Genomic DNA, 22,101 nt, shown 5'->3' with positions numbered 1-22,101 from the left:
GTGAAAACAAACAAAAAAAGATTTTCCATTTCTGGAATGCGATTTGGTCATGATTTTATGCGTGTGTGGTAGATTCACTGGTGAAACCTTCTGGACCAGGAGTTTTGCTTGTGGATAGTTTCCGTTTTTTTGTTTTGTTTTTTTTTTTTTTTCTTTTGTAAATCCCAAAGACTTCAAAACTAGTGGGTAGCTCTTTCCACTAAGGATCATGTTTAATAGGACTATTCAGATTTTCTATTTTCTGCTGTGTCTGTTAAGTTGTAGTTTTCTAATAGTATAACTTCATCTAAATTTCAAATGGACTGACATCAAGTTTTTATAATATCTTCTCATAAGCTTTTGTGATATCCTCTTCACCTCAACATTGGTTAATGAGGTCTTCTCTTTCTTCATGGTCCGCCTCATCAAAGGTTTAATTTTATTAAGTATGCTGTCTTATATAGGTATTTTTTTTTAAATTTTGGTCTCATCTTGTTCTATCAGTTACCAACAACAATGTATTAAAAATCTCCTACTTAAAGTGTTATACTGGATAATACAAATTCAGGGTTGTTATGCCTTCCTGATGAATAATACCTTTTATCATCATAAACTGCCCTCTTTATTTCTAGTAAAGCTTTTTGCTTTATCTGTTATCAGTCTGACTACACCAAGCCTTCTCTGCATCAATTTTTGTATGGTATGTCTTTTGTCCATCTTTTTACCTTTACCTTCTTCTGTTTCCTTGTATTTTAGGTTTATCTCTTGTAAAGAGTATGTGGTTGAGCTGTATCTATAAATGAACACTAACAATCTATTTGTTCCAACTGTTTTATGTTCCTTTTCCTTTCTTATCTTTTGCTGGAATTTTTTATATCATCTCCCCATATTTTTATTTTTTAGTTACCTTATATATTACAATATTACAAAAGATTATGCATCCTTGACTAATCAAAATCTAATTACTCCCTAAACTCATCCACTATGTTGATTTCTGTTTTAATTCTGTTGCTCTCTCATCCATACACATATGTGTGTATATCTACTGTATTCACAAGACATCCAAATGACCATCCAGCATGGATAGAATCAGACTGAAAGATGCATCTGGAAGGAAAGATGGGTAATTCTGTGACATCCAGATAGCTATGAAAGAATTACAAAGAAACAGGTAGTTCCCTTGATTACTGCTGTTATCACTACCCTCCTGAAATACTTGTTTCATTTTTTGAATCTAGATTGAGTGAATTATATGCATTAAATTCAACAAGCACTTACTGAGGGGCTGCATCAGCACTGTCTTGCGGAGGTGACAATGCCATTCATAATCTGTAACAGCACTTCTTGGACTTTAATGTGCCTGCAAATTGTTTTTCAATCTTTTTAAAAATGACGGTTCTGATTCAGTAGAGCTTGAAAGTCAACATTTCCTTTTTTTTTTCTGAGACAGAGTCTTGCGCTGTTACCCAGGCTGGAGGGCAGTGGTGCACTCTTGGCTCACTGCCACCTTTGTCTCCTAGGGTCAAGCAATTCTCCTGCCTCAGCCTCCCAACTAGCTGGGATTACAGGCACCCGCCACCACCCATAGCTAATTTTTGTATTTTTAGTAGAGACAGAGTTTCACCATGTTGGCCAGGCTGGTCTTGAACTCCTGACCTCAGGTGATCCACTCACTTTGGCCTCCCAAAGTGCTAGGATTACAGGCATGAGCCACCATGCCTGGCCAAGGGTCAACATTTCTAACAAGTCATCAGATGATGCCAATACTATTTTGAAAAGCATTGGTCACCTTAATAAAAGAAAGCTGTTCTCCAACTAATTCAAGTAGTGGATAATCCAAAAATAAGTTATAGTCTATCTAAACAATACACTAGAGGGTTTTTTTTCCCCAATAGATTTACTTTTCTAGTTATAAAGTTGAAACTTTTTTTAGGGAGAATAATACACATTCCCATGCATAACGGTGATATGCTAGGTGACAAAGAATCTGATGTTCTTTTTGGAATTTGCTGTGGATGATCTGAATGTGAATTGGCAAGAAAAAACTTTTTCACTTCTGGTACCTTTTTAGCTATGTATTATAACACCTATCATAACTAGTTAGTGACATTATCAGTTATTTAGTGAAAGTGAAGAAAGATTAAGCCACCAGTACAGGAGGACTGCTGGTAAACATGGTATATAAACGAGGTGTGCTTGCCACATGCTCATTGTCTCCTTTCTTAACTCGACTGCTGTGTATGAAATTCAGAATAAACCTAAGTTTAATTTCCTCCTGCAACACCAAAAAGTATTTAAGTTATCCATTCATTCATTCCTTTCCTATGATAAGATTCCAAGGGGACAAAACTAATATGCGTATTTCTAGTTAACCTGATTTCATAATTAAGCAAATTACCCATGTTTTTACTCTTAAGTTTCTATCTTCCTAAAATTTTAATGCAAATGTTAATGGAAAAAATGACTCAGTTCATCCTGTAACAGGGATGATCATATAAAGTATTATGCGGAACCATATGAAACTGCTGATAGATTTCTGACTACCCTTGGCTTACAAAAACAGTAATTTCATATGGTTCAACCTACTATCTACCGTATTATATAATCTTTATTCAACTCAGTATAATAATATCTTAGCTTAAGAATGTATCACAATACATGTTTTAACATCAGATAATGTTATAATTTAATGATGAACTTAACAAATAATTCAAAGCTATCTAAAATCATCATTTGGAGTGCAGTTCCAAAGTATTTTCAACTGCTGTCAAACAGTATGGAAAGCATGTTGGAGAAAATCATGCATGTGGAGTTCTGTCTTTACGTGCTTCTGAACTGTATGGATCATTTTTACCATGAGCATGTTTCTGTAACTTTGCTAAACTTGGGAAAAATTCAATATTTTACTAAAAGAAAAATGAAGCAGCTTTCTTACTTCAGCCACGTTACTATGTTCTAGCAAGGAACTATAATAACTAGAGACCATATTACCAGTATGGATCAGCACTGATTCTACAGAGAAATATTTCATAAACAACACATCTCAAAGACTGGGACATAAGATTCAAAAAGATAGTGGTAAACACAGAGGAAACAGCAAATACAAAAAGCATGAGAAAAGACCCTAAGTTTAAAAACAAAAAAGTAAAAATAACAAGTATCAGAAGCCATCATCTCTGATACATAACCCACACGTAGCTCTACTTGTAGATCTGAATGTTATTCTTACCTAACCTGAATTTCTTTGTTAGTAATGTGTTAACAGGGGACCATTCCTGTGACAGTATTAATTGATAGTAGATTTTAAAGAGAAACAGTTAAATCAAAGAACAATATTAAAGAACAAAAAGTAAATGAAAATAATTTAATTAAAACTATAGCATCTAAATGTGGAAACTTATGAGGCTGAGGTTCTAAGACAGAATCCACTAAGAAATGAGGAGGGCAACCAAGCTTATGTGGGCAAAAACCCACGAGGTCCCTAGCAACAAGGCACATCCAAAATGAATTGCACCTCTAATGATGGCCGGAAATAAAGGCACATGATTAAGAGGGTAAGTGAACGAAAGTCCATGAGTAAGCTTTGTTCACGATTTTATCATCAGCACCAAGAACAGTGCCTGGCACATGGCCTGCATTCAATAAATATCTGTGCAATAAAGGAATGAACTGAATCCATCAGGAATATTTAGACTGTGAAGAAATCATTGAGAGAGGGAGGGAGGGGACTGCACGGGAGGTAAGGATGAATGTAGTATTTTTTAAATGAGGGGTTCTTGAATCAAAAGCAGAGAAAAGTCTTATAGCACAGGCTACAGCTATTGCTCAGTCAACTGCTCTTACTCATTTTTATATCCCAAGCACACAGTGCAGTGCCTGGCTCCACAGAAGGTGTTAAATAAATATATATTAAAGTGAAAGTAAGCAATGACTGTGACTATGCAAAAAGTCTAATGATAAGGACTATTTAGTAACAGTGAGCCAATAAGAACAAATGAACTGCTTTCTTATTACCCTCTAGTGGCCAATATGTGTTACTACAGGATACACACACACACACACACACACACACACACGTGCCAACATTAAACACACACACACACACATGCACACACAAGCTTGTCAACCCACTAGCCAAAAGAGCATACTCAATTATCTAGAAACACAATGAAATTGCTCATATAAGACGTAAATAAAATCTCAGGTTTTTCAGCATGAAAGATTAACTGAATCTATATATTAAAATTGTTAGTAACAATGGGTTATGGATAAAAACATGTTACCCTTAGGAATTTGTATTATCAGATTTCCACTTATGACCTTTGTAGAGTACCTGGTACCAGACTCCCTCATTCATCATAAACAACTAAAGAACTAGTCAAAACATACGAAATAACCGTTTTCAAACACTGGACAACAGGCAGTGCAGAATCGTGATGACTGAAAAAAGAAATCACTCTTGGTGAGCCCTACAATCCCCCTGGTTTCCTATCTAGAGGCACTTTCCAGGGTACAATATAGGAAGGGGGAGCCCAAACAGAACACAGCAATCTCACTGTGCTGCAGAGACAGAAGGAAGAGTTCAAGGCCACTGAATTGGCTGGAATTTGTGCAGCAGGTAACAAAAAGAGAAGGAGCTCCATCAATCCGTACATAGGGTTCTCCTTGACTCTTTGGCCAAATGCTAAGCTGCACAAGCACTGGGAGAAGGACCATGAAGCCAGGCACAGAACAACTACCAGGGAACTGTGAACTGAATAACTACTAAAATTCACACAAGACTGTAAGACATTGAGTGTTCAAACAGGCTACAGTGGAGAAACCCACAGACATTCAACAGAGACCCCAGAAAATCCACATTTAGGGCTAGGGCTAATCCAGCCCTACAGTAAAGGCTGGCCCCTGTTCTAACAGAGACTGAAACAAACCTCAAAGGATCAAGATGGTCTGCAAGTGAATTAACAGCCTGCCAGGACGACATTCAACACTCTTTAAAGAGAACAACAAAATCCAAACACTCACGGGCCAGCATTCCTCATCCCCATAGCCAGCCCAATTCACTAGGCACAGCAAGAAGCAAGAAAATGTGGTCTGTATTCGGGAGGAAAAAATCCATTTAAGACTCAGAAATGACAGAAAGAGTGAAGTTAGCAGACCAAAACCACTATTATGAATGTTTTAAAATATAAAGGAAAACATGGACAAAATAAGGGAATAGTGAATCTTAATAGAGAAATAGAATCTACGAAAAGGAACTAAATGGAAATTCTAAAAATGAGAAACAAAATAACTCAAATGAAAAATTCACTGAACGGACCTAATAGCAGTTCAGACACCGCAGAAGAAAAGATAAGTGAATGGAAAAACAAAGCAATATAAATTAACCAAACTGAAAACAAGTTTAAAAAAAAAAAAAAAAGGAAAAAGTCACACAAAAATCACACTGAGGCAACTCAACCAAACTGCTGAAAACCAATGATGAAGAAAAAAATTGTAAAAGCAGCCAGAGACAAAAACACCTGTTTCCATATAGGGGAGTCACCACTTTCTCACCAGAAACCATGTGCACCGCCAGAAGAAAATAAAACATCTTTAAATGATGAAAATAAAAAAGACCTTTAACCTACAAATCTATATCCGGTGAGAACACCCTTCAAAAACGAAGGCAAAATACTTTTTCAGACCCATGAAAGTGAAAGAATTTGTCAACAGTAGATCCGCCCTCAAAAAATGTTCACACAAGTTCACAGAAGGAAAATGATTCCAGACAGAAACTGAGATTCACACAAAGGAATAAAGAGCACCAGAAATGTAAATATGTATGTAGATAAATATAAAAGACATTTTTTCTTAATATTTTTGAAAGCCAACTGACTGTTCAAAGCAAAAATAACATTGTGGAGTTTATTACATATAAATAAAACAATCACAGCACAAAGGACAGGAGAAATAAATGTAAGTATTCGGTTGGTGTAAAAGTAGTTGTGGTTTTGCCATTTTATTATAACTTAGATAATTTAAATAAATGTATAACTTAAATAAAATGAAATACTACCTATATTTGAAAATCAAAAATAATCATCTTAAAACTTTAAGACTAATATGCAGATGTGTGCTTTTCATTCATTCTGTATTTAACAAGCACGTATCATTTTTTAGGAACTGTACTATCCTCAACAACTAAATAACAGAAAATCTTACTTAACCCTACAGTAAAAGGGCCCTTACCACTCTTGATTACAAAAGGTAAGCCAAATTCTTACAGCTGAAATAGGAGGCCAAGGATTTATTTTTGGTAATACCATCTGGAAGACAGAAAAGATTAAAATAGTAATCCAACATATAGCTGCTGGATTCCATAAATTATCATATTGTACAGAGGATAACATATAATATGGGTAAATTTATATTTTCTTTAATATCCTAAAGTTATAAAATATTTTAAATAATAAGAATGAATAAAGCAGATAATACCACCTAGTACTAAGTTATTGGCAGTCATGAAAATTCCAGGTAGAGAAATAGTTTTTCTTGTAGTGCCCATAAATTTTAAATTAATAATCAGTAATGAAACCTATTTAAATTAAAATTCTTCCCTACTTAGTACAAAACAAGGTATTGAGCAGTCTTTGAGCCCTTAATTAAATCTAGGAATGAGCGTAGGGACGTTTGGAAACAAAAGACAGGTAAACAAAGACACGCAATGTCTCAAGACAAAGTCTGGAGGTGAAATTAAACCTTTTTAGACAAGTCCAACCACTTAATGAAAAGAATGAAGACCGGTGGTTCTCTAACTTTGACTGGAGGCTAGTGGCTAACAGTGGATTAGAGGCCAAAGTCTCCCTCATAGCGCAGTAACATTTCTGAGATGTGAACGCCGCAAGACTCCCCCACCCCTTTTGTTCGCTACTGCCTCCCCATGGCTTAAAACAGCAGAAGCTCTCTAAGTATCTGCTGCCTGACTTAATAATACAAAAAGAGCACAGACAAATCAATCTGCCATTAGGAGATTTTTAAAATGTCAACAGGAAACAAAAGATTCTCAACATGTTGCAATAAATAAAACATACAATCTGCCGAATTTTAGGTATTAACTGACAATTGATTTTAAATGACTGCAAAAAAAATCTTTTGAAACATTAAAAACTAACACTTTACCAAAAAAAAAAAATCCATGCTAAAGAAAGCAACAAATCTAACATAGCAACTGAAATAATGGTCGCTTATACAAAATACTCACAAACATGTTTAAGTTTGAGCAAATGCAATTTAAAAAGTTTATCTTCATGACTATGGCTGCAGGATCCTTCCTGACTTAATTGGCACTTGACCTAATGCTCCCAAATATTTATGAATATATATATTTTTAATTTGCATACAAGTATTCTCAAGCCCACTCACTCCAGTCCTTTGCGGGAAAAAAACGAAACTTATTTCTGATCAAAGTTTAATTTTAGATGACTCACTGGACAGCCCTGCAGAGACACAGAGAAGAATGCCTTTTAGGCTAGCAGAATCCATATAACAACACAAGAAACAACAAACCAGATGACAGCTGCTGAAGCAGCCCTGTCAGGCAGTATCATGTCTCAATACGAAAACAGAACGTTACATAGAAATCAGAATTTCAATTACATAAATTTCTTCCTAGCAGGGTATTAGAATAACATTATTTATTCAGCAGGTAACTAATCAGGCTAAACTGAAAACATGCCCCCTAAATAATTAAATAAACAAAATCTACCACCACTGTGAGACAGAAAGTACTTTCAAAAATCTACAAGATCTACACAGGACAGTGATGATTACTCCATCGGGCATCCAGGTTAGTAGCCCTAAAGAAAATGAACAAATATTTGGGGTCCTAATTAGACTGCTTATATAAATGCTAACCACTTATTTAATTAAAGGATTCATACTTTCACTGCAGTCATTCAGCCTTCAGTAAGTTTAACTTTCATAAATACATAAAGATTTCACAAGTTTTACAAAAATGGCTCAAGTCATTCCAACTGACACTACAGTGATTATAACAGAGGAACTAATTCTTTCAAGCAAGCTAATAAAATGATTGTCCATCAAAGATGGTAAGCCAGATCCTGAGAGTCCAGGATCTTTCAAGAGAAAAATGACAGTGACCACAGCTTAAGGTTATCAGACGTCTTGATTTCAAAGCTGTCCTTCATACTATTATAGTAGTTGTCAGACGGTATATCCTTATTTATGGCTTAGCAAATAGCAGAGAGCATCAGAAACAGTCCTCCACACACAAAACAGTGAACTGCCAGCCTGACATGCAGTAATGTCACACGGCAAGCACATTCAGTGACTGCCACTTCCCACTCTCAGTCAGGAGATGAGGGCTTCTCTTCCTTCCTCCCAGGTCAGAGGCATCTGTAGGATAGTTAAGGAGAGCAGGGGAAGAGCCTGGACATGGTAACCACAAGCCTCCAGCTGCTCAAAATGCCCTTTATGAAGCCCCATGGACCTCGGCCTGCTCTCTATATCTCACATTCCTCTGCGGCGTGCAAAGTTAGCATATTCATTTACAAAACAGGTAAAACGAGAAATACCTTTGAAAGTTCAGCTTGCTCTACAGAAGACAGACATTAGGCTAGGACTTAGGCGTCCCCTTTTGCTTGCCTTGGCCCCAGCATCAGTGTGGGGCATGGCAACAAATAACCCGGTCTTCTTACACATGAAATAAGAGGATTCATCATCACCCTCAACCATGTAAACCCAAAGTACTCCTCTCCCTTGTACAATGCCTTGGGTTTGAAACGTTACACACAGAGTTGCCAGGGGACAGGAAATGTGCCTCAAAGACGATCTGGAGCCTCTGTTTAGAGCTTAAAAGAAATGTTTTAATAAATGGTGGTTAAAGTTCAACTTAGTTCATTTTTTTCAAAATCAAAAAGATAGTGAAATACTAGTTATGTAAAATTTTTAAAATATAATACATATGTATATGTACACACACACACACACACACACACACACACACACACACAGTAAATTACCCAGATGCCCTCCCCTACCGCCCCCTTGACCATAACTTTGTCTAGCGTGCCTACAGGCATATTACAGCTGTCTTCCAAGAAACCCGTAAGTACAAAAAGAGGGGGAATGGCACAACACATCTAAATGCTGTAATACTATGAAGCCATTCAAAAGTTGAAAGGTGCCTGCTTAGCTGCTTTCCTCTCTAGAGGAGCAGGGTCAGAACACACAGAGGCGGCCAGGAATACAACACAGGCAGAAGGTTACCTACCACAGCCTCAGACCTTCAGCTATGCCATAACCAAGCCATTTTAAGAAGTGTCTGAAGGTGTTACTAAGTTTCAGGCACATAATGTTTCTTTGGAAACAAAGTTGCCTTCCCTGATCTTTACCTCTGTCTTCTTCTAAAGCAGGCACAGCAACAGCAGTCAAGGGGGAAAAAAATTAACTTTTTCCTTCTCCCATCCCAGGGAGAAAAGGGGAGAAGCATACACATAGAGGACTTGCTCTTTTTTAGTTCTAGCTAAACAGCTGTTAAACATACAAGATATTTTTAAGTCTAGTTAAGTACTTGGTACCTATATTGAATTGCAGCATAATACTTAAAATTATCCAATGAGGCAATCATTTGGCTTTGTGATTCTAATTAAAACACTGATTATTTACATAAATTTTCCATTTAAAAATACCCAAAAGGCAAAATATTCATCTGACCAGAGACGCTTTAAAAGTTAAACACAAAAGGCCAGCCGCGGTGGCACATGCCTGTAATCCCAGCACTTTGGGAGGCTGAGGCAGGCGGATCACTTGAGGCGAGGAGTTCGAGACCAGACTGGTCAACATGGCGAAACCCCACCTCTACTAAACACACACACACACACAATTAGGCGATCATGGTGGTACACGCCTGTGGTCTCAGCTAGGGAGGCTGAGGCAGGAGAATAGCTTGAACCCGGGAGGTGGAGGTTGCAGTGAGCCGAGTCCGTGCCCCTGCACTCCAGTCTGGGCAACAGAGTGAGACTCTGTCTTGCGGGGGGGATACAAAAATTAGCCAGGTGTGGTGGCATGCATTTGTAGTCCCAGCTACTCCGGAGTCTGAGACAAGAGTCACCTGAACCCAGGAGTCAGTTTGCAGTGAGCCAGGATCGTGCTACTGCACTCCAGCCTGAGCAACAGAGCGAGATTCTGTCTCTACTAAATAAATAAATAAATAAATAAATAAATAAATAAATAAATAAATAAGTAAGTAAGTAAGTAAGTAAGTAAATTTTCTTTTTACCTCTCAAGCAAATTTTCCAAACCAGAAAGTATTCTCAGTAATGATAGTATGGATAAAGCAGGTTTCTATGACCCTTTATTACAGAATCTGTGAGTTTTTCACAATTAAAAAGTAATAAAAAGTAGTGACAACATTCACTGAACTCTTATTCTATGCCAACTTGTTCCGGTATGCCCTTACACCCACAAAAGCCCTATGCATAAGGTGGCATTATTCCAGCATGTATTGCATTGTACACACAAAGAGGTCAAGCACTCCACCACGGCCCTAAGCATGGTGGCTGAGGTGGGAAGGCCAGAGGTAGGTGGGCCCGCGCCCTTTTCCACTCTGAACCATGCCTCCAAGATAGGAGGGTGGGAAAGTGCTCAAGACACATTAGAAATTCCCCATAAAAGACAAGATTGTTGAACACCTGCAAGTGAATAAAGATAAACTGATCTCAGAGGGGAAAAAGACGCAGGGTTAGGAAACAGCACCCTGCTCGAGGACGTTCTTTCCAAACAGCCTGCTCATCACCCGTGTAAACTGGCAAAGGGGTGGCTGGGCCAAAAGACAGAGGAATTAAGTAAGAAGTCCAGGAAAAATGAACTTCACATCAAATTTTAGAGCACGGTAGCCATGAATCTTGTGAATAGCTCCCAAAAATGTCCTGTGGAAGACAACTAGAAAGCATTCTACAATCAGGCACCCACCTCCACCTGCAGCCTCCTGTGTTGTTCTCATGGGGCACCTCTGGGCTCCAGCTCCTCCAAGGCACCTCCACACTCTCTCAAGTACACTCTTCACTCTTCCCCAAACATGATTCCCCTACTGCTCTGCCTAACTCCCACTTCTCTTTCAAGTAGCAGCTTAAACGTCACCTCATATTTGGCTGGAAAATAGAATATAGACAGAGGGGTAAGTTAAGGCTAGAAAGGCAGGCTGGGTCAACAGAATGGCAAGCTAAAACATGGGATTTTCTAAAACAGCCTAAGAGGGTGACAGATAAAAGTGTGCAAGGAGTGGCACAACTCCAGTTTCATCTTTAGCTATAGCAATTAACACCATAAGGAGTCTGGATTCAATTTTGCCATTTACTAGCTAGCTACCAACTTCTGTGTCGCTTTGGGCAAATCAATTAAATCCATACCTCCCTTTCCATCTGCAGAATGGGTTTATAACAGTACTTAAACCTCAAGGTACTAAGAACAGTAAAGAGTTAATGTTTAAAATGGTACCTGGCAAATGGCAAATGCTAAATGATAGAACGAATGTGTAAGGTGGACTGGAACCAGGAGGAACCACAAATAGAGATCTATCAGTTGCTTACTGCACCAGCCCAAGCACGGGACGGTGAGAGCCCTTAAGGAGGGAATTGTCAGCAAAAGAAAGGAAGGAGATGCATGAAGAGACACTCTGAGAGCAGACTGACAGGACTTCAAAACCTGTTTCAATACGGACGACAGATAAGAGACAGCTGGATTCAAGAATGACTCAGCGGTTCCAAGCCATGGTGACTTGGAAAAAAGAGGTGACTTAAAAAGTCAGAAAAAGAAATTAAATTAGTTGATAATGTCTCCATAAATGTACCATTATTTAAAATTTAAAGACTGCTTCTTGATTTATATCAGCAGTTTCCATCTTATTAAACATATGACATTTAAAATTCTATTGAAAATAGTAAGAAAAAAGGGTACAAAATAAAAGGAAAGAAAAGGGTGTGGCTGAGAAAATTAAAACTGGCACAAGGAGCAAGTCCAGGGTTCTGGTCCCAGCTCTAAGGTTAACTCCATAACACTGGAAAAAACATGTCATCTGTCCAAAGAGCCCAGGCCCTCACACACAGGGGTAGAATCACTGTGTAGTTAAGACCTCTTCAAAATATATACACCACTCTCTCCCTCCCCCATCTCCCAAGAATTGTCCTGGGAGCCTGTTTTTTGCCAGAATGTAACCTAACCTGCTCAAGTATGCTGGGGCACGAAAAAAAAAAAAAAAAAAAGGTGACCACCCCTGAATAACCATCTCTACAATCACTACCGGCTTTGACATTATCACATCTGGCTGAGCACAGCACACTCAGGAATATAAAGCTGTCCCAAAAGCAAAGAGATAAGACCAATCTCACTTATTAAAATCTGTCTGGATAAGGTGCCCTTCTCAATATAGTGGAAAGCCTACTCCATCTTTAACATCAGCATCTTTGTCGTCATTAAATCCTCTTTAAGTCATCTGGTTTTCCGCAGCACATAATCTTAACTTCTAAGTTGTTTTAGATACAACACTTACTGAATCCCTGTAAAATACTATAACTGGATATTTTATCTCAAGTAACAATGAGATAAAATTTTTTAACATCAGAAAGGTGGTGTTTTCCATTAACCCAATAGGTACATTAATTATTTTCACTTACAACAATACTTTTTAAAATGATTTTTTGAAAGATTTAGAATATCATTACCTGAAAATGTGAGGTCATAACCTAAAAAATCTGTTACATTTCATTGCTTCACTTTTTAGACTCATTCCATCAAGTGACCTCCATAAGCATCCAAAACTACTATTGACAGAGGTTGCTCCATGTCTATGTGTCAACCTCAAATAAGACTTTGTTACTCAAAGTAATGGAGATCAGGTACGGTGGCTTACACTTACAATCCGGCACTTTGGGAGGCCGAGGCAGAAGGATGGTTTGAGCCCAGGAGTTAAAAGACCAACCTGAGCAACACAGAGAGATCCCATCTCTACAAAAACGTTAAAAATCAGCCAGGCATGGTAGCGCACGCCTATAGTCCCAGCTATTTGGCAGGCTGAGGTAGGAGAATCGTTTGAGCCCAGGAGGTCGAGGCTGCAGTGAGCTGTGATCACACTACTGCACTACAGCCTGGGCAACACAGTGAGACCTTGTCTCAAAAAAAAAAAAAAAAAAAAAAAAAGGAGACTACATCTCATAATATGAAAGACAATGTAGGAGATTGAGGACTCAAGTATGTAAAGACTGAGGGACAACAGTGGGGAAAATAACCTTATTTTATATTGACTGCAAAATATATAATTTATACAACTCCAAATATAATAATGCTAAAAATCAGATTCAGTAAATCAATTTTTAGTATAGAAAGTACTTATTTTTCTAGCTGAGTGATACCAAAGTAAAGATGTTGAGATACACCAATAAGACTTTTCCTATTTTGTACGTAAAAAAAGAGGCTTTTATTTTCCTTTCTTTTGTTAAGTCACTAGGGAAACACCTTAAGACTTTAAAAATGACCCTCAACTAACCAGCACCTAAAATGTGGGGAAGGAAGAGTTATAATACATTTCAATGAGAAGTTTATGCCAAACAAACTGGAGTTAAGTCTCTTAAAATGTAACTGAAGATTATCCTTCAGGGAAGTAACTAGCAAGGCATCTCTCCTCCCATCTACCTGGCTGCAGACCCCTGGACCAAACACCTGCTCGGGCTTTCCTCCATCAGTCACGTGCTGACTTCTGTTATCTCCGCCTCTCTCTCTCCCAGCTCTGTCTTAAACATAAAAATATGCTCCTGCCTCACTGTGAGAACAAAACCCTTCCTCGATTCTACAATCAACCTTTAACAACCAACTCATCTTCCTCTCCTTCATTCATTCAACAAACATCTACTGAGCCCCTACTATATTCTAGACTTGCACCGTCCAATGCAGTCAACAATAGTCATATGTGGCTACTGAATACTTGAAATGTAGCTACAAAGAATTAAGATGTGCTATAAATGGAAAAAACAAGATTAAGGACTTAGCAACATAAAATGTAAAATACCTCAATTTTTTTTATTATAAATTGAAATAATAGGTTTTGGAAACACCAGGTAAATTAAAATATATTTAAGTTTAATTTTACTGTTGCTTTGTACTTTTTTCTTTTTAAAGAGACAGGGTCTCTCCCTCGTCACCCAGGCTGGAGTGCAATGGTGCAAGCATAGCTCACTGCAGCCTTGGAACTCCTGGCCTCAAGCAGTCCACCTGCCTTGCCCTCCCAAAATGCTGGGATTATAGGCGTAAGCCACCACTCCAGGCCTCTTTTTACTTTTTTAAAAATGTGGCTCCTAGAAAAATTTAAATTACATAAGTGGCTTACATTTCTATTGGCAGTGCTGTTCCAGACAACGCTCTTAACATTAAAGGCATAAATGCAAAAATTATGGGCCAAATCTCAGGCCTCCTGGAGTTTGTATTTTGCTGGGCACAGAAGAATCCTCAAGCAAAAAAAAAAAAAAAAAAAACGGGAGTGTGAGATCAGAAAATGATGTGTTCTGAAGAAAAGAGCGCAGGGAAAAGAGGGACTAGTGTGGGTGGGATTCCTCTCCCTGCTCCCCTTCCCTTCCCCTCCCCATCTCCTATGACAGGGAAGGCAAATAGGTTTCCTCTCCAGTACAAACTCAAATAGATTGGCAGTGGCTGTCTGGAGCACTCACTGCTATAGAAAAGATTCCAAAGCTAACTCAAGCCTCAGCTGGAAAGCACGGCATGCTATATTTAACTGTGTCTGCACAGGCTGGGGAGCAGGCAGTAGCGCCAAGTTTGACCCAGTTCTATAAACGGCATCTCCACCCATCCATCCACTCAAGCTAGAAACCTCAATCTTATTCGCTCTCTTACTTCCACCTCCCCACCCCCTTTACCTCAATCCCCCTCAATCTAACTACATTCTGTGACTTTGGCCTCTGGAATGTCTCATGAATCCAGCTGCTTATTTCCATGCTCTGTCAAGATCTTAATCCAGAAAGGGGCCAGGGGAATCCCCTACAATAACTGCTCCTTATCCAGGCTCCATGCCCTCCCTCAGTGTATTCCCCCTACTGCTGTCAAAGTTCATGTCCACAACCAAAAAAAAAAAAAGCTCAAAATCAATACTTCACAATACTTTAAATACCCAGAGTACCCAGGTTAAGTGTTTACACCTCTCGTCTTATTTCCCACCATTTCTCTCCATCCTGTCCCCTCCATGACATCCTTTCCCTTAACTGCACCGACCTTCTCACCATTCTTCAATGGTGCTCTTCAGCAGCTCTTCGCTCTTCTCTTCAGCAACTCTTCTCTCCAACTAGCATGCTATCCCCGCCCTCCTATTTTCTCCTCCTAGAAGTCTTCAACTCAAACTTCAAGACCCAGGATCAAATGTCATGCTAAGAAACGTTCTCAGAATCTTACAGGGAACTGGTCCCCTACTCCATTCTTCCCTCAGAACACTTACCTGTCACCTAACCATGAGGATATGTTCTAAGAAATTCACTGTCAGGCGATTTCATGGTTGTGAGAACATCACTGAGTATACACTGCACGCCCACGCTAGACAGTGGAGCCTACTGCACGCCCACGCTAGACGGTGGAGCCTACTGCACGCCCACGCTAGACGGTGGAGCCTACTGCACGCCCACGCTAGACGGTGGAGCCTACTGCACGCCCACGCTAGACGGTAGAGCCTACTGCTCTTAGGCTGCAAACCTGTTCAGCCGTGCTGAATAATGAGGGCAACTGTAACCCTCATTATTTGTGCTATAGGCATGGAAAAGGTACAATAAAAATATGATATAAAAGATCACTTGTGTGGGCGTTTACAGGAATGGAGCTTGCAGGACTGGAAGTTGCAATGGGTGGGGGAGGGATGGAGGGAGGGAGGGATGGAGGGACGGAGAGGAAGAGAGATGAGTGAATGAATGCAAAGGCCTAGGACATTAAACCGTCTACTACGGTCGACTTTATAGACATTGTACATTTAAGCTACACTAATTTATTTTAAAACTTGTTTTCTTCAGTAATAAATTAACTTTAGCCTACTTTATATAACTTTTTAATCTTTTTTTAACTTTTGGATTCTTTTGTAATAACAGCTTAAAACACTGCACAACTGTACAAAAATGTTTTCTTTCTTTACATTCTTATTCTGTAAGCTTTCATTTTTTTAACTTTTTACTTTTTAAACATTTTTCTCAAAAATTAAGATACACATACACGTAAGCCAAGACCTCCTTGGGTAAGGATCGCAAGACATCACTAGGTGATAGGATTTTTGTAGCTTCATTACAGTCTTAGGGGAATACTGTCGTATATGCAGTCCAACACTGAAATGTTATTTGGTGCATGACTGTATTCTGCTCTTATCTCAACACAGCAAGCATGCTGCCTGCTAAAGCCATCAGCATGCTCTCACAATTAGTGCTTTGGAGGGAAGTACTGGTCTTATTTATTTTTGTATTCTCATAACAACAAGGCAAAGGCTTAAAGGAAACACTAAACGAATGAGTGAAAGAAGCGGAGTGTGGTCCCTGAATCCCCTACTCCAACACTCTCTGCCCAGGCTGGCCTGGGAACTCTCACGAGCTCCTAAACCCCTGCCCAAGGCTAGAGTATCTGAGCACTTCACCCTAACTGTATCAGAATGACTTCTCTGCTGACTCACCCAAATATAGGAAGGCAAGGGTGTGATAATTCTTTTGTGTTGGCACATAAAAGGCACTTACTAAATATTTATTCAATGAGTGAGTAAATGAACAGACACTGTCAGACATCTAGTTCCCCCACCTCACTTTACAGAGGGGGCGGCTGCAACCCAGAGGCTTAACAACGTGATAAAAATCAAGATTGGAACACAGCCTCCCATCTTATACCACAACTTATTTCTCCTGATGAAAAAGGTTCCCACATAGGTATTTGTCATTTTTAGGCCATTTGGTATCTGAACACTCTTCACAGTTCATGAGAATCATGGAAGGCAAAAAAGCCATGCCACCAAGTATAAAAACCAAACTAACAAATCTCCTACCTTACCTCCCTGGTAACCAGGGCTTTGCTAGTGACCAAAGTTTTGACAATCACATGCTCCTGTTCAGACTCTGGAGTCTTGATGGGTCACTCCTGCAAGATGTAGGGACAGTAAGAGACTATCCACAGTGGAGGCAGGAAAGTTGAGGCTCACATAGCAATGCATTGCACAAGTGCCAGGTGTGGGATCCGAAGCAGACTGGTCTTCTGCTGCGACCCTGGCTGTGTCCTCTGCTGCCACCTGCTTTGGCCCCTACTTATTTTTCCAGCATAGTTTCCAGCTTTCAATTAATTCTATGGGTTAACATATAGCCTTCCATTACATTTGTTTTCTGCCCAACTTGGCCAGGAATGGGTTTCTGTTGTCTGCATCCAAGAGACTTGACTTGACTAGACTTGAAAGTAAATGAAGAATGCGGGCCATCACCTCAAAAACAGGATATTTATGGGGAAAAGTGGAGAGTAATTGCAAAAACATGGGAAAATGAGAAAAGGAAAAGCAAAAACGAAATAATTAGGTAGCTCACAGAGAAGTCAATGTCTTGCTGATGTTGTTTACCTTGACCACACGAAAGAGACTGCTAATTGATAACCAAAGGCATTTTTTTCCCTGAGTCAACTAGACTACATTTCCAGCCTCCCTTGCAGTTAGCATGGCCACGTGACTAAGACCAAGCCAATGAAATGTCAACAGAAGTGATGTGTGCCACTACCACGTCTGACCCATAAAAATTGCGTGTGAAAACCTCCATGCTCTTCCCCCATTCAACAAATGCCAAAACCTAGGATGACCTTTGGACACTATTAAATTTAAAATAGGAAAAATGCCCATAGTTCAGAGCCTGAATAACTGCAGAGCAGAGCTGTTATCCCATTGTACTAACAGTCATTGGACTATTATATGGCAAGAAATTCTACTGATTTAAACCACTGAAATATTAGGTGTGTTCGTTAAACCAGTTAGCTTACCTTAGTAAATACAGAAATTACTATCTACCTAGAAATGATAACAAATAATTAAATGTCATTTCTCAGCTTGAAAACACTGGTCAAACGTATTCCAGTATGGACTTGAACTAATACAAACAAAACTACCTCCCAGAAGTTAAGAAATGTGTTTTCGGTTTTTGAGAGAGTAGACTTTTTTCTTGGAGAAGAGGTACAAAAGTAAAGCAGGGGAAAAATGATATGACTCTTCAAATCAAATTACGTAATTCCTAGGTCCACGCATGGTGGCTCACACCTGTAATCCCAACATTTTGGGAGGCTAAGGCAGGCAGATTGCTTCGGCTCAGGAGTTCAAGACCAGCCTGGACAACATAGCGAAACCTCATCTCCACAAAAAAATTTTTAAATTAGCCAGGCATGGTGGCATGTGCCTATAGTCCCAGCTACTTAGGAGGCTGAGATGGGAGGATCACTTAGGCCCAGGAGGTTGAGGCTGCAGTGCTCCGTAATTGTGCCACTGCACTCCAGCCTGACAGCCTGGCAACAGAGTAAGACTCTGCCTCAAAAACAAACAAAAAAAATTTTAAATACTTGTTTTATATATATTTCCCTCCTTTGCTCAATATTTGAGTTTAAATAAAATATACAAGTTTTTTCAGCATAAATCATGACCTGTACTAGAAATATAAATCATACCTATAATATTTCATGTTAAACCTTCCTATTTTCCCACAAATTATTATAAAAACAAAGTTATGTTATAAAAAGTGTTATCTACTCCATAGCTCACTTGCAGAGCTTTTACAAATGTAGATGATCTCCTGACCTCTAGAGTTTTGGACTTGCTAGGCCTGAAATGGGGACCAGGCACCAGCATTGTTCTGAAGTTTCTCAGGTGACTCTGATTATGGGACCCTCCACCAGAACAAGAGTTTTTAAAAAAAATTGTAAAAATTTAAAATACCAGTAATACAGTACAAAGTGCTTTAATACTTGTCATAAAAAGCCTAATTCTAAAACTATTTAGAAAAACAATGTCAACTCATCAACTGACAGGGAGATGTCTATTAAAATCTCTTCTGAAATATTTTACACGTTAATCTTCTATGTAACAAACACTCAACTGAACAATCCCGACTACATTTTGGGAATCAAGTGAACCTCAGGGTCACAATGTAAAAAAAGATGGTCTAAAATATAGCAGATTTTTAAATTACTAAGTAGAAGTTAATACTCAGAGGGGGAAAAACTCCATCTCTTAACAGCTCTTAACACCTTGAAGAGTGGGAATTGAGGGGACAGCGGCAACTCTCACTTTCTAATTTACATAAACTTGTTAATTCCGAATTTTAATATACAATTTTTTTAATCGCCACAATTCACATTTACTAGAAAACACCAAGTGCTTTCTTAAAAGCACAAGTTCCCCACCTCTAAGCAAAGATTAGCCACACTTCCTGACTTAGCACAGTGATCCCACACCTAGAGGCTAGAAACTACCCACTCCACTGCTAAGTTCCACCCACCTGCCATGTCCATCAGCTCGCCAACTCAAGCCTTCTTTTCTAAGTCTGCAGCTGCACCATGGCCGTGAGTATAATGCCGTGAGTACAATGCTTGCTACATCCTGAGCAGGGGTCAGCAAGCTTTCTCTTAAGGGGCCAGAGTGTGAATGTTTTAGGCTTTGCGGAAGATGAAGCTTCTGTTGCAATTAATCAAAACTCTTCCCATGTAGCACAAAAGCAGCCACAGATATAATACATAAACCAATGAGTAGGGCTATATTCCAATAAAACTTTATTTACAAAAAGAGGTAAGCAGACTTTAGGTCTTAAAGGCTTGAGTGGCAGCAAGATTCGTGTGAGGCATTCTGAAATTATGTTTTTTTAATGTATGTTCACATATAAAAATGTGTATATATATGTACACTTATATATTAGTATCATAAAATATATTTATTTATAAGTTACATGGGGTGTGTCATTGTCACTTTCCCCCCAACTATAACATAAGATCCTGAGGGTGGAAGTGCTGCTTCATTCACTGACAAATCTTTAGTGAATGAGCAGGAAACAAGGCCCTCAGAGAAAACACTGTCTCACTCAACTCACCTCCTGAGATCCAATCATAGATTGACAGGGAGGAAGGGGATATAAAAGAAGCAAGTTCTCCTGTTAGGAGAGTAGAGCATTTATTACACATAAAGCTCTGCCTCTGTAATCAGATGTTAAGTGCCCTCTCTTCCCCTCCCAACCCATCCCTCTCACACAGGGGACAAGTGGTAGCAATGAGGAATGGTGGCAAGACTAGTAACAATCAGGAGAGTGGGGATTCTTATGAAGAACTGCATGCTCCCAAATCACAGAGGGAGCACAAAAGGAGCAGAACTCCTCCTCTGGCCTGACCTGTGTGCTTCCACCGCCACAAGGTGGGGCGCAGAACAAGATCTCTTGCGTACCTAAGGCATATTACAGGCATTCAGTAAACAATATGATAAACAGAAAAGTCCATTTTAGCCTCAGATCTACTAACTCACTGTGTGACCCTGACCTTTTCCAAGGCTCATCTGCCATTACTGTAAAGTTGGGATGATAAGCCACTCTGACATCTCTGTGAGGTTCACGTGAGGTAACACGTGTGAGCACACTTGTAAACTCTGAAACACCACTCAAATTAAAAAAAAAAAAAAGAATTTCAAACCTGCCTATACATTGTAGATTCTCAAATGTCAGGATAGGAATATTTTAATAGCTGGAAAGCCATGTGAATTTTCCCATTAACTACTTTATTAAATAGGGAAAATCAATTTAAATGATTTTCTAAAAGTTTTCCCCACAGACCTTAGTAGGCCATTTTCATTTTGAATTTCTTGAAAATGCAACTTGTTAGCTTTTTTAAGAGTTGCATCCACTACAGTATTTATCTTAATAGTAATGCATTTAGTTCAATGCATTCTAGAAAAAAAGCAAATATGTTTTCAGAGCTAATACTTCTTAGGAGATGGCTAAAATAAGACAGCAATGTAATCCATTACATGCAAAATGAGAGCGTTGAGAGGCCCAATGCTCAGGAAAACTTTTTCAAACTTGCAGTTGTAGCATGTTCTTCAGAGCAACAAGGACAGCAGGTGTGGGTCACTAACAAGGATTTTCCAATACATTTTCCTGCACATCACTGCGTTCACTTCTTAACGCCTAAGATACTCTGGTAGCAACACTGATTTACCGTTTTAGAAGCAGGGATGCTCTTCCTCCCACATCAATTACAGTAAGAATGTTGTTTTTTTATTTTAAAATACAGATGAGGGTCTCACTAGGCTGCCCAGGGTGGTCTCGAACTCCTCAAGCAATACTCCCACCTCAACCTCCCAAAGTGCTGGGATTACAGGCATAAGCCACTGTGCCCTGCCAGTAAGAATGTTAAGACTGCTAATATTGGTTAAGGACAGGGTGCTAAAATTCCCAACTTTTTCTTGGCATCTGATTACAAATGACTACTCTTTTATATAGAGGGTGCTGGGCTTTGATATGGAAAAACTGTTACTACTGTACTCCAATGGGGAAAAAATGTCACACTGTTCATGATACAAGAGATCTGCATGACTGATGGGCACTTCTATAAACCAGACTACCCCACAGATGTATTTGCTCATTTGAAATAAACCAAATGAAATAGAAAAAAAGCACTCCCATGGAAAGACTATCCCTGATCTTCCCAGCAAAAACTGCATCTTCCCCAACTCTATTTGTTCAGATGTTTACTGTGTATCTCTCTCCATTACAAAACGAGCTCCACAAAAGCAGGGACTCTGTCTTAGTCACTACTTCATCCCCCGCACCAACATGAAATGCTTGGCACAGTAAATGCTCAAATACTTGTTGCTTATTTTCCGAAACATTCCTCATCATCTTAAACCTCCTGGCATCTAACAGAAAACACCCCTTAGTTACTAACTGATCACAAATAGTTCCATTACTTTCCGGTGTGCATTCTGTTTTGTTGAATTATTCTGCTTTCCCTATATTCGTGTTTACTCTTGCCTTCTGTAAGTGACAAGCAGGGCTGGTGTTCTAACTTTATAGTATTAATTCCCTATGAAAGCAAACTAACATA

General features: G+C 39.0%; 1 protein-coding gene across 7 annotated transcripts in view, besides 4 other annotated features; it reads right to left on the bottom strand.

Annotated features, from left to right (window-relative positions):
- The window catches only part of DYRK1A (dual specificity tyrosine phosphorylation regulated kinase 1A), a 160,786-nt gene that overhangs the window by 59,100 nt on the left and 79,585 nt on the right, over window positions 1–22,101 (bottom strand). The window lies entirely within an intron of this gene.
- Window positions 3,951–4,000: a silencer, noted in NCBI's record as "silent region_13307". NCBI's record gives its function as "represses an Ori minimal core promoter by ATAC-STARR-seq in GM12878 lymphoblastoid cells {active_cell/tissue: GM12878}" and the evidence as "EXISTENCE:reporter gene assay evidence [ECO:0000049][PMID:35858748]".
- Window positions 9,395–9,906: an enhancer, noted in NCBI's record as "H3K4me1 hESC enhancer chr21:38829655-38830166 (GRCh37/hg19 assembly coordinates)". NCBI's record gives its function as "activates a minimal SCP1, AML or CMV promoter by ChIP-STARR-seq in naive H9 embryonic stem cells {active_cell/tissue: H9 hESC(naive)}" and the evidence as "EXISTENCE:reporter gene assay evidence [ECO:0000049][PMID:30033119]".
- Window positions 9,907–10,420: an enhancer, noted in NCBI's record as "H3K4me1 hESC enhancer chr21:38829141-38829654 (GRCh37/hg19 assembly coordinates)". NCBI's record gives its function as "activates a minimal SCP1, AML or CMV promoter by ChIP-STARR-seq in naive H9 embryonic stem cells {active_cell/tissue: H9 hESC(naive)}" and the evidence as "EXISTENCE:reporter gene assay evidence [ECO:0000049][PMID:30033119]".
- Window positions 15,558–16,109: an enhancer, noted in NCBI's record as "H3K27ac-H3K4me1 hESC enhancer chr21:38823452-38824003 (GRCh37/hg19 assembly coordinates)". NCBI's record gives its function as "activates a minimal SCP1, AML or CMV promoter by ChIP-STARR-seq in primed H9 embryonic stem cells {active_cell/tissue: H9 hESC(primed)}" and the evidence as "EXISTENCE:reporter gene assay evidence [ECO:0000049][PMID:30033119]".

This window comes from Homo sapiens, chromosome 21, assembly GCF_000001405.40.
Source record: "Homo sapiens chromosome 21, GRCh38.p14 Primary Assembly".
Taxonomy (NCBI): domain Eukaryota; kingdom Metazoa; phylum Chordata; class Mammalia; order Primates; family Hominidae; genus Homo; species Homo sapiens.
The sequence above is the reverse complement of the archived record's forward strand: the minus strand, read 5'-3'. Positions and strand labels throughout refer to the sequence as shown.